Below are 12,678 nucleotides of genomic sequence, written 5' to 3' on the forward strand. Positions count from 1 at the left end.
GAAACTAATGAATGCTTCTATATGTTGACTAAAATTATCTGCTATCAAATCTACTCAGAAGGAATTTGGCCCTGGCCTTCTTCATTCTATTCCTTATTGAATTAAGAAATGGATTGCTGAAAACAATGAATCTATGCTTTGTCAACTTATTCCTCTCATTTCATGTAATGTGAGCAGGTTCTTGCAAATATGCAAAAAAGGAAATCTCTGGATGGACATAATGCTCTCTAGCCATCTTGTTAGTGAGGCCATTAATGAACATACCCTCAGAGGAGTTTTTTGTGCTCTCCCAAGTTATGTATTTGCATGTGATATCAAGATTGATTGGCTACTCAAGGTTGGGCAGGCAACGTTGCTGCCTCTATAGCTGGTAAATAGCTTATGCTTTTTAGGGCATTTTGTAACTCCCTCATACTTACATAAAAATATAAAATAACTGCTTTTCTCTCTCCATTACAGAGCTAAATAAAAGGACTATGTTAGAAGGATATGATGATAACTTAGGTAAAAACATTTTTGATATACTGATCCTAAGTGCTGGAATTTATATCACTAGAGATATGATTCAAAACCTATCAGGCACTATTGGTCGGACGGTTGAAGACACTGCAAAAGGCATTGCAGCTCAACAAAAATCTTTGAACTCCTTAGCTTAGGTGTTACTAGATAACAGATTTGCCTGAGACTACTGGCAGAAAAGGAAGAGTCTGTGTAATAGCACACACCACTTGTTGTGCCTGTACTAACACCTCTGGAGAAGTAGAGACTTGATTAGAAAGAATAACCCAAAAGGCTAAACTGTTACAAGACATAAGAGAAACTGATCCTTTGAATGATTTGCCTAGTTGGCTACCCTTGGGGATGCTTTCTTAATTTTGTTCTCCTCCTCAAGTAGTTATTATCATAATCATAAACATAGTTGTCATTTTTACAGTTATCAAATTACTTACGACTTGTGTTTCACCTTGCCTACAATTAGCAAATAAAATTGGGATAATGATTGATTAGAAAGTTGCCTTAATTGAAAATATGGTCATGTGACCTGAACTGCACCCCATAAGTTACTTTGCTCCTGATGCCTTATAATCCAGCCTTACCCCTTTTCCATTTTATAAATTAAACAATTCCTCCCTCCCTAGGACATGACTCTCTAAGAATAAGTCTTCTTAGCAATGTGAGATTTAATTACTCTCTAATAAAATATTGCTTCTGTGATGCTCTATTCAAAAGATCTTGAAGAAAAGGGGAAATTGTGAAAAATAAAAAAGGATAGTCTGTTTACTCTGGTTGACTTTGAGACCAAGTCATGGAGCATTGCTTCTTAATTACTGACCTAACGGTATACATTCATTTGCTTCTTCATTTTCTTGTACCTGGATCACAGATGATAACCTTGACTAACATAAAATACCCTTTTTACTATTATATTCTTATTAGGGAATGTTAAATGCACTTCTCAAAGGAAACATTACGAATAACCAATCAAAATGCTGTACCAATGCATGGATCATCTTTGAAATATGTTGAAATCCTGTTAAGCTTCCCCAAACCTTGCTTATATAAGTGACCCTCAAATTTCACTATGGAGCATTGAGCCCATGTTTTAGAGTCTGTGTCTTTCCAGGTGGCCATTCACAAATTTTGCACTTGAATAAACACAATGTTTAATCGCATTGCCTGAAACTCGTTAGTGAGGTTGACAGGTTCAGCAATTAATTATTTTATTATATCTGTTTCTATTGTAGATAAGTACCATGTACATAATCTTCTTTCTGAATGAAATATTTAACACTCAGCTTGAGTAGATCTGTACATATGATACTTTTAATATGAAAATATAAAGGTTATTTCCAATTTGATACAAAATTAGCAAAAAAAGATGGTTGAAAAAACTAAACATTTAATATGTAATTATAATATGATACATATAATTATATACTTGTCAATCTAAGAAAAGACACTGGCGAAAAGTATCTACTAATATAATGAGTTTATTCAGGAGTAGGAAAAAAATGATTATAATGAAGTACAGCTTTGGCAATACATAGATATACTTGAAGAGGCTATGTAGCCAAACCAAAGCAGATTTTAGCCTTTTTCTGCAGTACCTGTAAACAATTTAAATATGTCATTCCAAAGCCTTGGTAATATAACCAAAATTTCCAGTTTTATCTTGTTATAAAGAATGTACATTCTTATTGCTATAAAAAATAAGAATGCTCAAAATAGTTTTTAAATTTTGGAGAGATCAAGTAGGGAGAAAAAGTAAATGTTTTCACGTTTGTTCACAAAAGTATAATTTACCTAATTGTTGTCAATTATAGATAGCCCAAGAGAGAAATTTTTCTTAAATCTGGAAAATAAAACATTTAATTACAGAACCAACAATGTTTTAAGTTAAACTCATAAAAACATTACCTTAATCAGTTACTTAATTTCATGTAATTAATTTTTGTTCTTCTTCGTCTTGATTAACAATTTTATGAATTAATCAATTTCTTCATTAGAGTTTTGGAAAATCTTTATTTAGTTCATTAATCTTAAATTTATCAGAATCCCGTATTCAAGAGTACTTGTTAGAGTCTTCCAAGAATCAGATTACACATGCCTTTAAGAAATATTGAAACAATGACTGTGAGTGATGAAACTTAGACTAGCTGTGGTTAAAAATCGAAGGAGAATTCATCGTTAACTAACAATTACAAAGAAATTTAGTTATTTTTGTGGTAAACAACATAAAAACTAAAATTATTATTGATGACATAGATTTTAAAGAACTTTATATAATTTTGGAAACTTCATATGAATAATATACCCATACATTGACTGAAAGAAGATCTAGCATCACTTCTCACTTGACAAAGTTTTCTGTATCTACCCAACATCTCAAAAAGCCTGATTTAGTTCAATATCTCTCTTTTATAAACCTTTGAGACTTTCCAGGACTCTCTGAAACATCCCAACATTGGTTTGAGGTAAAAAAATATATATATATATACATAATTTAATCACAGGAAAGCCTGACAAAGATGTCAAAAGGTCTAAAACACTTGATCAAAATGGGATCTTAATGGGATTCTTTAAGTGCTCCTTGACACCTGGAAATCGTGGCCATTGGTGCCTCTGCACAGCCTTCACTCGGCTCTAGGCTCACCACTGGGCTTGCTCCACCCACTCTGCCCAGCAGGCTGTGGTTGCTGCAAGGTCCACACTCAGCCTGCAGCTGGGCTGGGCATGCTGTGATCTGCTTCCAACCTTGGGTGCCAGAGTCTGGATGAGGTGGATGTGGCGTCACTCAAAAACTCAGAGATGCCAGCAACCACAGAGTCCCAAGGGGTGTTATGGCTCTCTCCCAGGAGTCCCAAGGTCTAAGTCCTCAGAAATTGTTACAGCTCTCTCGTCTTCCTGCCACCCACAGTGCAGGAAACAGGTGGAAGTGGGGTCATGTTACAGCTCATTTCTGTTACAGCTCATTTGTTTCTGCCACCCACAGTGCAGTGAACAGGGGTATGTGGTGCCTAGCAGCTTTCCCCCCGCTTGCTCAGTGAGCTGGAGGGAGGGTTACCATATTACAGCTCTTTTCACCCCTGCCATTGGGAGGGTTCCGGGTTCTTGACCTGCAACCATGAAGAATGACGTTATGCTGACACCAGAGAGTGAACAAGGCAGGGAAGAATTTTATTGAGTAACAGAAAAGCTCTTGAAAACAAGAGCAGACCTGAAGCGTGTAGCCCTCCATGTGAGAGGGGTTGAAAGCATATAGCCCAATGTGTGGCTGAGTCCAGGGTTTTTATGGGCTCAGAATGGGGGATTGCATGCTGATTGGTCCATGGGCAGGCCTGGAAAAATCACCATTTGATTGGCTAAAAGGCATCGAGGAAGTTCTCACTCCAGTCAAAAACTGAGCTGGCAGCTCAGTTTTCAGGCTTTAAATTGTCTTTGGTTTGAAGGTCAGGTTTTACCAGGGACCCATCCCTGTCTGCCTAGGAATTTGTCTGCCTCCTGCTGCTATCAATCACATGGCATTGTGAAATAACAGTAATTCACTTAACCAGAGTGACAATCAAAAGACTTCAAAAACAATTTAAAAAGTTACATGAATGATAAAACAACAACAACAACAACAACACTCTTTCAAAGCTCAGTTTTCCTAAGTTAAAAAAAAAAAAAACTAACAAATACAACATTAAATACAGTAAATAATCTTATTAAAGTGTAAAATCTTTGTTTCTTAGGCTAGTTACCAATGAGGTAAAGAAAAAGCTCCTGTAGCATGGTTGTTTCTACTTATGAAAAGCCCATTTAGATAACCTGAAAGTTGGACCTAATGAAAAGGTACTTGAATTCAGTTTGATACAGGAAGAATGTTTGTTCAAGGTTATGAGTATACATCACATTATAGAAGAATAATGTAAACACCTTGAGTGGGGAAATACATGGACCTTAGTAAAAGCATGGGAAATTTCCTATTTACATGAACAAATTCAGACATATCACAGAAAGCCAAGAGTACATAATCAAGTGATACTGGAGGAAAACATTGCTCTAAACTGTAGGGCTGCAGTTCAGAAGATTGAAAATTTAGAGGAACAGATTTCAGAATTAAACTAAACCTCTTGCAGTTTTCTTTGTTTTTTTTTTTCCCCCCAAGGATAGACCAACATTCTAAAAAAATCTTATTGCTCCAAACATAAATAAACAGACTCTAGTCCTGCACCAGTTCATCCCTGACACCAATGCTCAATTATTAGAAAAACACATAAACAATTCCCTACATCCAGCAGCCAAACCACAAATAAGACCCAACTTTCATAAACTCTCCACAACTGGCTTAGATCTATCATTTTCTTAAACCCCTAGTCTTTGTCCTATATTTCCCCCTTTTTTAAATACTGGAAAAATCAATCATTTTACCTTAGGACAAAAATTCACTTTTTAATTATTTTCTCTTATCATTGAGACAATAGAAAATTCTTTCTCATATAAAATTACTGTTTTTGTACATTTTACATACAAAATTACATATGTTAATCAGAAAATTTAGCAACTGTAATTTTTAGTGAAAACCTAGGAAGTAATTTTGAACTGTTATCTCACATCTCATAAATATATCATTCATAACCTCTAAAAAGCATATTTTGTAGAATATTTTAATGTAGAATAAGACATATTTACTAATATTAATATATTCAAATTTATAACAAACTTATGTTCGCCAATTTTTTTTGTATTTTATTTTACTTAGAAATGATTATTTGACATTGCATGACTGTATCACTATTTCATGTACCCCATAAATATGTACACCTACTATGTACCCACAAAAAAAATTTAAAAACCCAAAAGATTCAGACATTAAATATCTATTACATAATTTAAATATTTTATATTTCATAAAATGTTAATTTATAAATGAATACCCTATTTAAGTTAACCTAATTTATTTATTTTTAACAATTATACCTAGATTAGTTATGAAAACTGAGATATTAAACTGAGTTTGTCATAATTTCAATTTTTTTGTCAAAGAAAAACTCTAAAAGTTAAATAATTTTGCTTTATATGCATTGTACTCTCATCTATACATTTGCTTTTAGGTCAAACTCATACTTTTAAGATGCTAAAATATTTATCAAAGACAAAAATAAACAGTCTAGCCAGCAAATCTAGGCAAAAAAAAAGTACTCTAACAATTCTGATAACATCTTAATTTTTATCTTATCAACAAATTTAAAACCAGCTTATTCATCAAAGATTTACATAAGTCATTATGAACAAAAAGGCATTTGCGTTAATCACTCACTATTTTTTTTTATAAATAGCTTAATTCAGGTGCTTAACATTTTTCCTTTCAGTCAGTGAAGCTCTTTTATATATTTGGGTAGAAAAATATCACATACCTATAAGCATATAGTTAAAAAATACAGATGAACAAAAACAAACACTTTACAGAAAGGCCTTACAATTTTTATTTTAAAAGATTAGTTGTGAATAAAACATAGTATTAATAATATAACTTCATCAGGTTATATGAAGACAGTTGGATCCAAATTATATTTTTAACAAAACAGTCAAGGCTAAACTTTAATATTTTTTAGTTATCCCAGTACTTAATCTTATAAGACTTATATCTTATAAGACTGTGCACCAAATTTGGGGTAAAGTAGTAAGAGTTAGTTACCAAAATAATGGACAAAGAATAGTTAACTGTGAAAATATGACAAAATAATGTAAGGAAGCTTAAAAGATAACAATTATTCTAACCAGGTCCATACAGTATTATCTTTATCTTAATTTTTTTATCCTTGAAGATTAATTGTGTTACCTTTTTTTCAAGCATAAGGAGACAGGGTGCCTATTACATGACAATTTCATCTTCTGCTTTTAAGAAACAGTGCAAACATCAGAATGAATATTTTTATACCTGCTATTTTTCAAGTATCTTTACTTAAATAGTCAATATGCCAGAATAGCTGAGGAATTTTGGACAAGGAGAGTTTAGCTCACAAAAGAATAAAGAGAAAGAGGCATAGGAAAGGGAAGGAAGACTCTGAAAAAGAGAGTCTCAGCCAGCTTTGAGACAATATCTTTCATGGAGGCAATTTTTGAATCTTGAATGCATTTAGAAGTTCCAAAGTTCCAATTGAAGTATGCCTTTCACTCCGATTTGTTAATTTTAGAACCATGATATTTTAATTCAGCCCTAAGAGAGACATGTTTGGGAAACTAACAGACTGTCAAGAGGACCCATTGAATATCTAAACTAGTTCAGGTGTACTTTGCCCATTGATTTAAAAATGTGCACAGGAAAGGACCATAATTTTTACATGTATAGCTAACCGAGGTCTCAGAAGGGGAACTTTTGTTGCATGCATTGAAATTTGGGGATTCCATTCTTATTGATAAATGTTAAAACACAGAGAAGAAAAGCCTACCAATAATCAAAAGTATAAACATGAACAAACAACTCAGAATAAAACTGAAACCAGAAGAGTACTCACCAAGTCCAGAAAGAGAAACTGTCTTAGTACCAGAAAGGGCTTGCCAGAAAAGACAAAAAGTGTAAAAATCTTTATTGTCCCAGAAAGAATGCAAGGTTTTTTATTAAGTTAGTGTTAATCAAACTAGATCCAAAATGAAGTCCTCAGGGAGCTGCTATCAAACGGAGCCCACTGGACCTGAGAGAAGGCTTACCTGGAGAGAAAAAGGTGACCTAAGGAAGTGAAGAGTACAAAGTACTCAGTTGTGGGTACTTCAGTCGATTCCAAAAGTCAGTGATTCCCTCAAAATTTCATCTTGCTTCAGGGCCACTTCTGACACCAGATTATATCAACCTAAAAAAAACAAAAAATGAGAAACAAAAAAAAAGGACATCAGAGAAAAATATGTCAGAATATGATGAGTTTATTTGGGAGTGTACAAAAAAGATTTTAATCTGGAAGCATAGCCATCACAAGACATCGGTGCATTCAAATAAGGGAGGATAAAGGGCAGCTTTTAGTGGCAAAAAAATTAGTACCTCTAAGCTGCTTGGAATAGAGCTCTTTGGTTCTGGAGGCTCAAAGATAAAATTGGCATCAGTCCATTGGTGGAGATGCCTTTACTGGGCAAGTGTTCTTTCCAGAGCATCTTACTTGAATTGCTGCAGTCCTGAAGAAGAAACTCCTTCTAGGGTCATTTTAGAGAGTCCTTGAGACAATCCTTATCTTACACATGCAAGCATGAGCTGCCCTCCTCCGTGCTTTCCTAGTTCTAATTTGATTAGGGCCAATAAGAATGACTTTATCGTGGTATCTACAACTTTCACATACTATGTGTATTGTATGTATTAAATATGTGGTATTATATATCTTGATATATTCCCTATATACATATATGCACACATACGCTATATATAATATACTGTATATTATATATTTAACTGTTTCTAATGCGTATTTCTCTGCTTACATATGTGCATATGTGTTCAATTATATACTCTACATATTAATGTAACTGTAATATTCCATATAGTCCATTTAATACATTTTCTAATACAGTTGTCTGCTTGTATGTTTGCATGATTAATAACATTGGCAAATATTCCAAATACATAACCTGAAATTGAAAATAAATGATTTGTTTCAAATTATTAAAACCCTTGAACAAAAATGCAAAATCTACCCAGGCATTCATGGAATGCTTTAAAATCCAGAGAAAATGAAATAAGGATTAAACTTGAACTATTCTGCAGAGGATATGGATTTACTATGTGAATAGTTAGGAGTGTTTCAATTCAAGCAAAACATTAAATGATAGTGTCAAACTCTTAGCCTGGAGCGTATTTATCATCAATTTCTTTTCTTGGTAGTAGCATTAAGGAAGCATTAAGAAAAGGATAAAGTACATTTAATGCTGTAGGAAGAAAAAGTTAATGATCCTAAAAGATGATCATGGCTGCTTGTCCTTGAATATTTAAATAATTTTTCTTAGCTGGAAAGTTATAAAAATGCTTTTAAAATGTTATTGGATTTCATATGAGATGTAAATCCTTTAATTTCCCAAGAGCATTAAGTGGGCAAACTCACAAACCAGATTTGACTTTCATTGTCCTGTCTGCTTTTATGACTGACATCTATTACTTGTTTTTAGAGTTTATAAGATCAGTGCTGCAGGAGGCATTTATTTCTTCTGAAGACTATTGCCTGCATTGGTAATAACAAGTATCAGAGCCCTGCTTATGACCTCAAGATCCAAACCACTTTCTTTTCCCTTTGAACCAATTTAGACTGAGAAGCAGAATTTTCATGCTTTCCCACTCAATGATTTTTTTTCAGAACATAAGTTGCTTTATTAAAAGTAATAAGCATAATTTGAAAAAAAATCTATTATTTTATGCTTAATAACATTTACTACTTATAAATGATATATGATTGAGGACAAAATTTAATTAATATAAACACAAAGATATCTTTTTTATTATATACTCTTTTCCAGATACTATTAATATTATTTCCAACACTATCTTCCCAATTTTAAGAAAGAAGCAACTAGTCTTGACTGCTTAGCCTGGCCTTTCATGTCTCTCTTTTGATAGGAAAACTAATCCTCAAGTTAAAACTGAAAAGGGGGAAATTGGTGTTTTATTATCCCTTGAATTAATCCTAGTCCTATTGCACACAGGACATGTCAAGTTCTATGGATTCCCAACAATCTGCATTTCTAAATCCTACATTTCATAGGATAAAAGAGATGGTATTTCTAAAAGCTTTAAATGCTGAAATAAACTACGTTCTTGTTTATTTTTTTATTTGCCTTTCTTTTCCATTTGGTTATTTTTTTACATTTTTCCCTCCCTTCCTCCTCTCTTTCTCTTTTCCTTCCCTTCCTTCTTTCCTTTTTTCCTTCTGTATCAAAGCCAATTAATCCTTTGTTTGTTTTTTATAAAACTGACCCCAAGGTTATCTAATCAGAATTTTGACTGTTACATAAAATTTCATTTTATTATACATACACATATTATCTCTTTATTTGGGGAGTTCAGTCTTACTTTAAGCAGAATTTCTTTGCACACTGCTTTATTTTATTTAATTTTACCTTATTTTAAGACATGGTCTCACTTTGTTATCCCGGCTGGAATGTGGTGGTATGATCATGGCTCACTGCAGCCTCGACCTCCTTGGCTGAAACAATTCTCCTACCTCAGCCTCCCAAGTAGCTGGGACTATAGGTGTGTGCTACCACACCTGGCTAATTTTTGTATTTTTTGTAGAGATGAGGGTTTTGCCATTTTGCCCAGGCTGGTCTCAACTCCTGAGCTCAAGCAATCCGTCTGGCTCGACCTCCCAAAGTACTGAGATTACAGGCATGAGTCACTGTGCCAGGCCTTGCACAATGTTTTATTATTGTAAGAAAACCATCCTTTAGCCATTAAAAATTATCTGTGAGTTTTTCTTTAACAGTTTGCTGAATATCCCATCAAAACTCTAACTGGAGGGAGCTCAACTTTATTACCCCAGAAGTATACTTCATGAGTATCTAATTATCATGTAGACCTTACATTGTACTTAAAACTTATTTATTGAGAAACTTTATTATGGTATCTTCTTATCTACTAAATTTCCTACCTTATTTTTGGGTAAAATAGGCCATCATTATTTCCAGAAACTACAGCTAATTAGAATGTAAATATGTGTTCATTTAAACTGAATTAATATAGCATATATATTTTTAAATGATTGATTCTTCTTAAATGAATAAAATCATCTTTAAATTATTTCTAAATTATTGATTCTGACATCAGAGAATTCTGCTAGTCATTTAGACATAATTACAAAGCTAAAAATTATCTTTCCTTCTCTCTCCCTCCCTCTTTCTCTCTCGCTGTCTCTCTCTCTCTCTCTCACACACACACACACACACACACACTCTTGCCTCCCTCTCTCCGTTTAAATGTCTGAAAGTTGCACTCTCTTGCAAAAATTTTATAATTACAAATAAAACTCTAGCCAGTAATTATGGCTTTTTCTTTCACAAAACTCTCTCCTCTTTTAAAAATACTATTTTTTAGTATTATGTCTGGTAGGAGGAAATACGTATTTAATTTATTCTTCTGATCCAGAGAACCTCAACAGATGAACAGTGTAAATAATCATAGTTTGTTAATGCCTTTCTAAAATATTTTGTCTGCTGTTAATAGTGCCATTTTTCTGAGATCTACTCTTAACTTTTCTGCTCCACAGAATTTTGGCTTCAGTGTCTATGTTCTTCTGCGAGCTATGCTCCCTGCCACTGTTGATAGGGGTCAGGTCTCAGAGAACTTGCTTTCCCAGGAACTGCTCTGTCTAAAACACAGTAAGTCATCAAAAACATTTTCTGAACAAATACATTAGTGGACAATATGGGCTGGTTCATTTTAAGATTCAAATAACACCTCTTCCACATTAAGGAGATGTTCCCCTTAAGGGAACTAGAGGGGGTTGGGTGAGATGAACAGGATTTTGCACAATGGAACAGGATTTTTTAATTTGTGTAATGTGATGATCATACTTACCTTATTGGTCCTTCAAGGTTCCACCATTTGGAATCAGCTGTTCTTTGGAATTTTCCTTCCTGACATAATTGGAGTCATTCCTGTATTAAAACACTCATAGACACAATAAATTGCATACCTAGCACACCTGGTGGAAAGTTGCCCACCAGCATTCTGCTCCCCCATGCTTCATGAGAAAGTAACCATCACTACCCCAGCTGACCCCCTTTGTGGAACTTGGCCTTCAACTAATATTTCTGCATTCTGATGGATAGGACTAACCATCCTTCTTTTTACTATTTATAAGCTATTTGAATGAGAGGAGAAAAACTGTTGGGACATAGTAATTATGTTGAATTACATAGTTGTACTCAACAGAACTAATTATAGTTCAATTAAATATAATGTTCAAATAGAATTATCATTTTATTATTTCAATAACAAATATTAGTTGAAATGTAAATATGAGGTTATTTTAGATTAAAAATAGATTAGTTGTTACTTTTCAGAAATCAAATGTGACTAAAAGTCATGCAGATTCCAGTATAATTCTGCCTTCTGAGAGTTAGTAATTGCTATATTTGGATTTCAAAAAAATTGATAAAAAGTTACTATGCGGAAAGGGACTGACTTGAATTGTGAGGTATCTACACAATGGATATGTATGGATAAATCTGTGTTACACACACTTGAGATTTCCAAGTTCACACAACCTGAAATAAAAAGTGGTACCAAAATAATAGTATTAAAAAGCTGCGGCTGGGCGCAGTGGCTCACGCCTGTAGTCCCAGCTACTCGGGAGGCTGAGGCAGGAGAATGGTGTGAACCCGGGAGGCGGAGCTTGCAGTGAGCCAAGATCGCGCCACTGCACTCCAGCCTGGGCAACAGAGTGAGACTCCTTCAAAAATAAATAAATAAATAAAAATTTAAAAAAAATAAAATAAAAAGCTGCCTGCAGTAAAATGTGGTCTGGTTCTCGACTAGTCCCCCCAAAATTTAAAGCTGTTCAACTGAACAAACTATATGAGGCAAAAGTTTTCAGGCACATGAGAAGGGGAACTTTCACACCGTGAGCCCTAAATTTGCCTCTGATTTCTACCCATGAATAATTTCCTGGCTGTGGCACAGAGAGGTATCCCACGGAAGTTTTGCTAAGCAAACGGGGCAGAGCGCCGACTCGGGCTGTTGATGCAATCTCCAGAACATGACACTGAAGAGTTCTTGTCAAACATATGCCTAACTTATGTGAACATCTTCGGTCACAGAAAGCTCATATCATCTTTGGACAACTCTGATTATTACTAGGGAACTGAAATCTATATCTTTATTATGATAGCTGCTCTTCATCATCTTAACTCCTGCCAGTTGTCTAAACATCATGGTGGCTGATGCAGATAGCCCTTAGACATTGACACTTCTAATTAGCTCATCATCCATCTGCTTTTGTCATCTCTAATGCTATTTCCTCACTATGTGAAAATATTTTGGCCGAGCGCAGTGGCTCACGCCTGTAATCCCAGCACTTTGGGAGGCCGAGGAGGGCGGATCACGAGGTCAGGAGATCTCGACCATCCTGGCTAACACCGTGAAACCCCGTCTCTACTAAAAATATACAAAAAAATTAGCTGGGCGTGGTGGGGGCGCCTGTAGTCCCAGCTACTCGGGAG

The 12,678-nt window shown here is 34.5% G+C and overlaps 2 annotated features.

Annotated features, from left to right (window-relative positions):
• Positions 2,722–3,223: an enhancer, noted in NCBI's record as "H3K4me1 hESC enhancer chr4:31615167-31615668 (GRCh37/hg19 assembly coordinates)". NCBI's record gives its function as "activates a minimal SCP1, AML or CMV promoter by ChIP-STARR-seq in primed H9 embryonic stem cells {active_cell/tissue: H9 hESC(primed)}" and the evidence as "EXISTENCE:reporter gene assay evidence [ECO:0000049][PMID:30033119]".
• Positions 3,224–3,723: an enhancer, noted in NCBI's record as "H3K4me1 hESC enhancer chr4:31615669-31616168 (GRCh37/hg19 assembly coordinates)". NCBI's record gives its function as "activates a minimal SCP1, AML or CMV promoter by ChIP-STARR-seq in primed H9 embryonic stem cells {active_cell/tissue: H9 hESC(primed)}" and the evidence as "EXISTENCE:reporter gene assay evidence [ECO:0000049][PMID:30033119]".

Source organism: Homo sapiens, chromosome 4 (genome assembly GCF_000001405.40).
Source record: "Homo sapiens chromosome 4, GRCh38.p14 Primary Assembly".
Taxonomy (NCBI): Eukaryota; Metazoa; Chordata; class Mammalia; order Primates; family Hominidae; genus Homo; species Homo sapiens.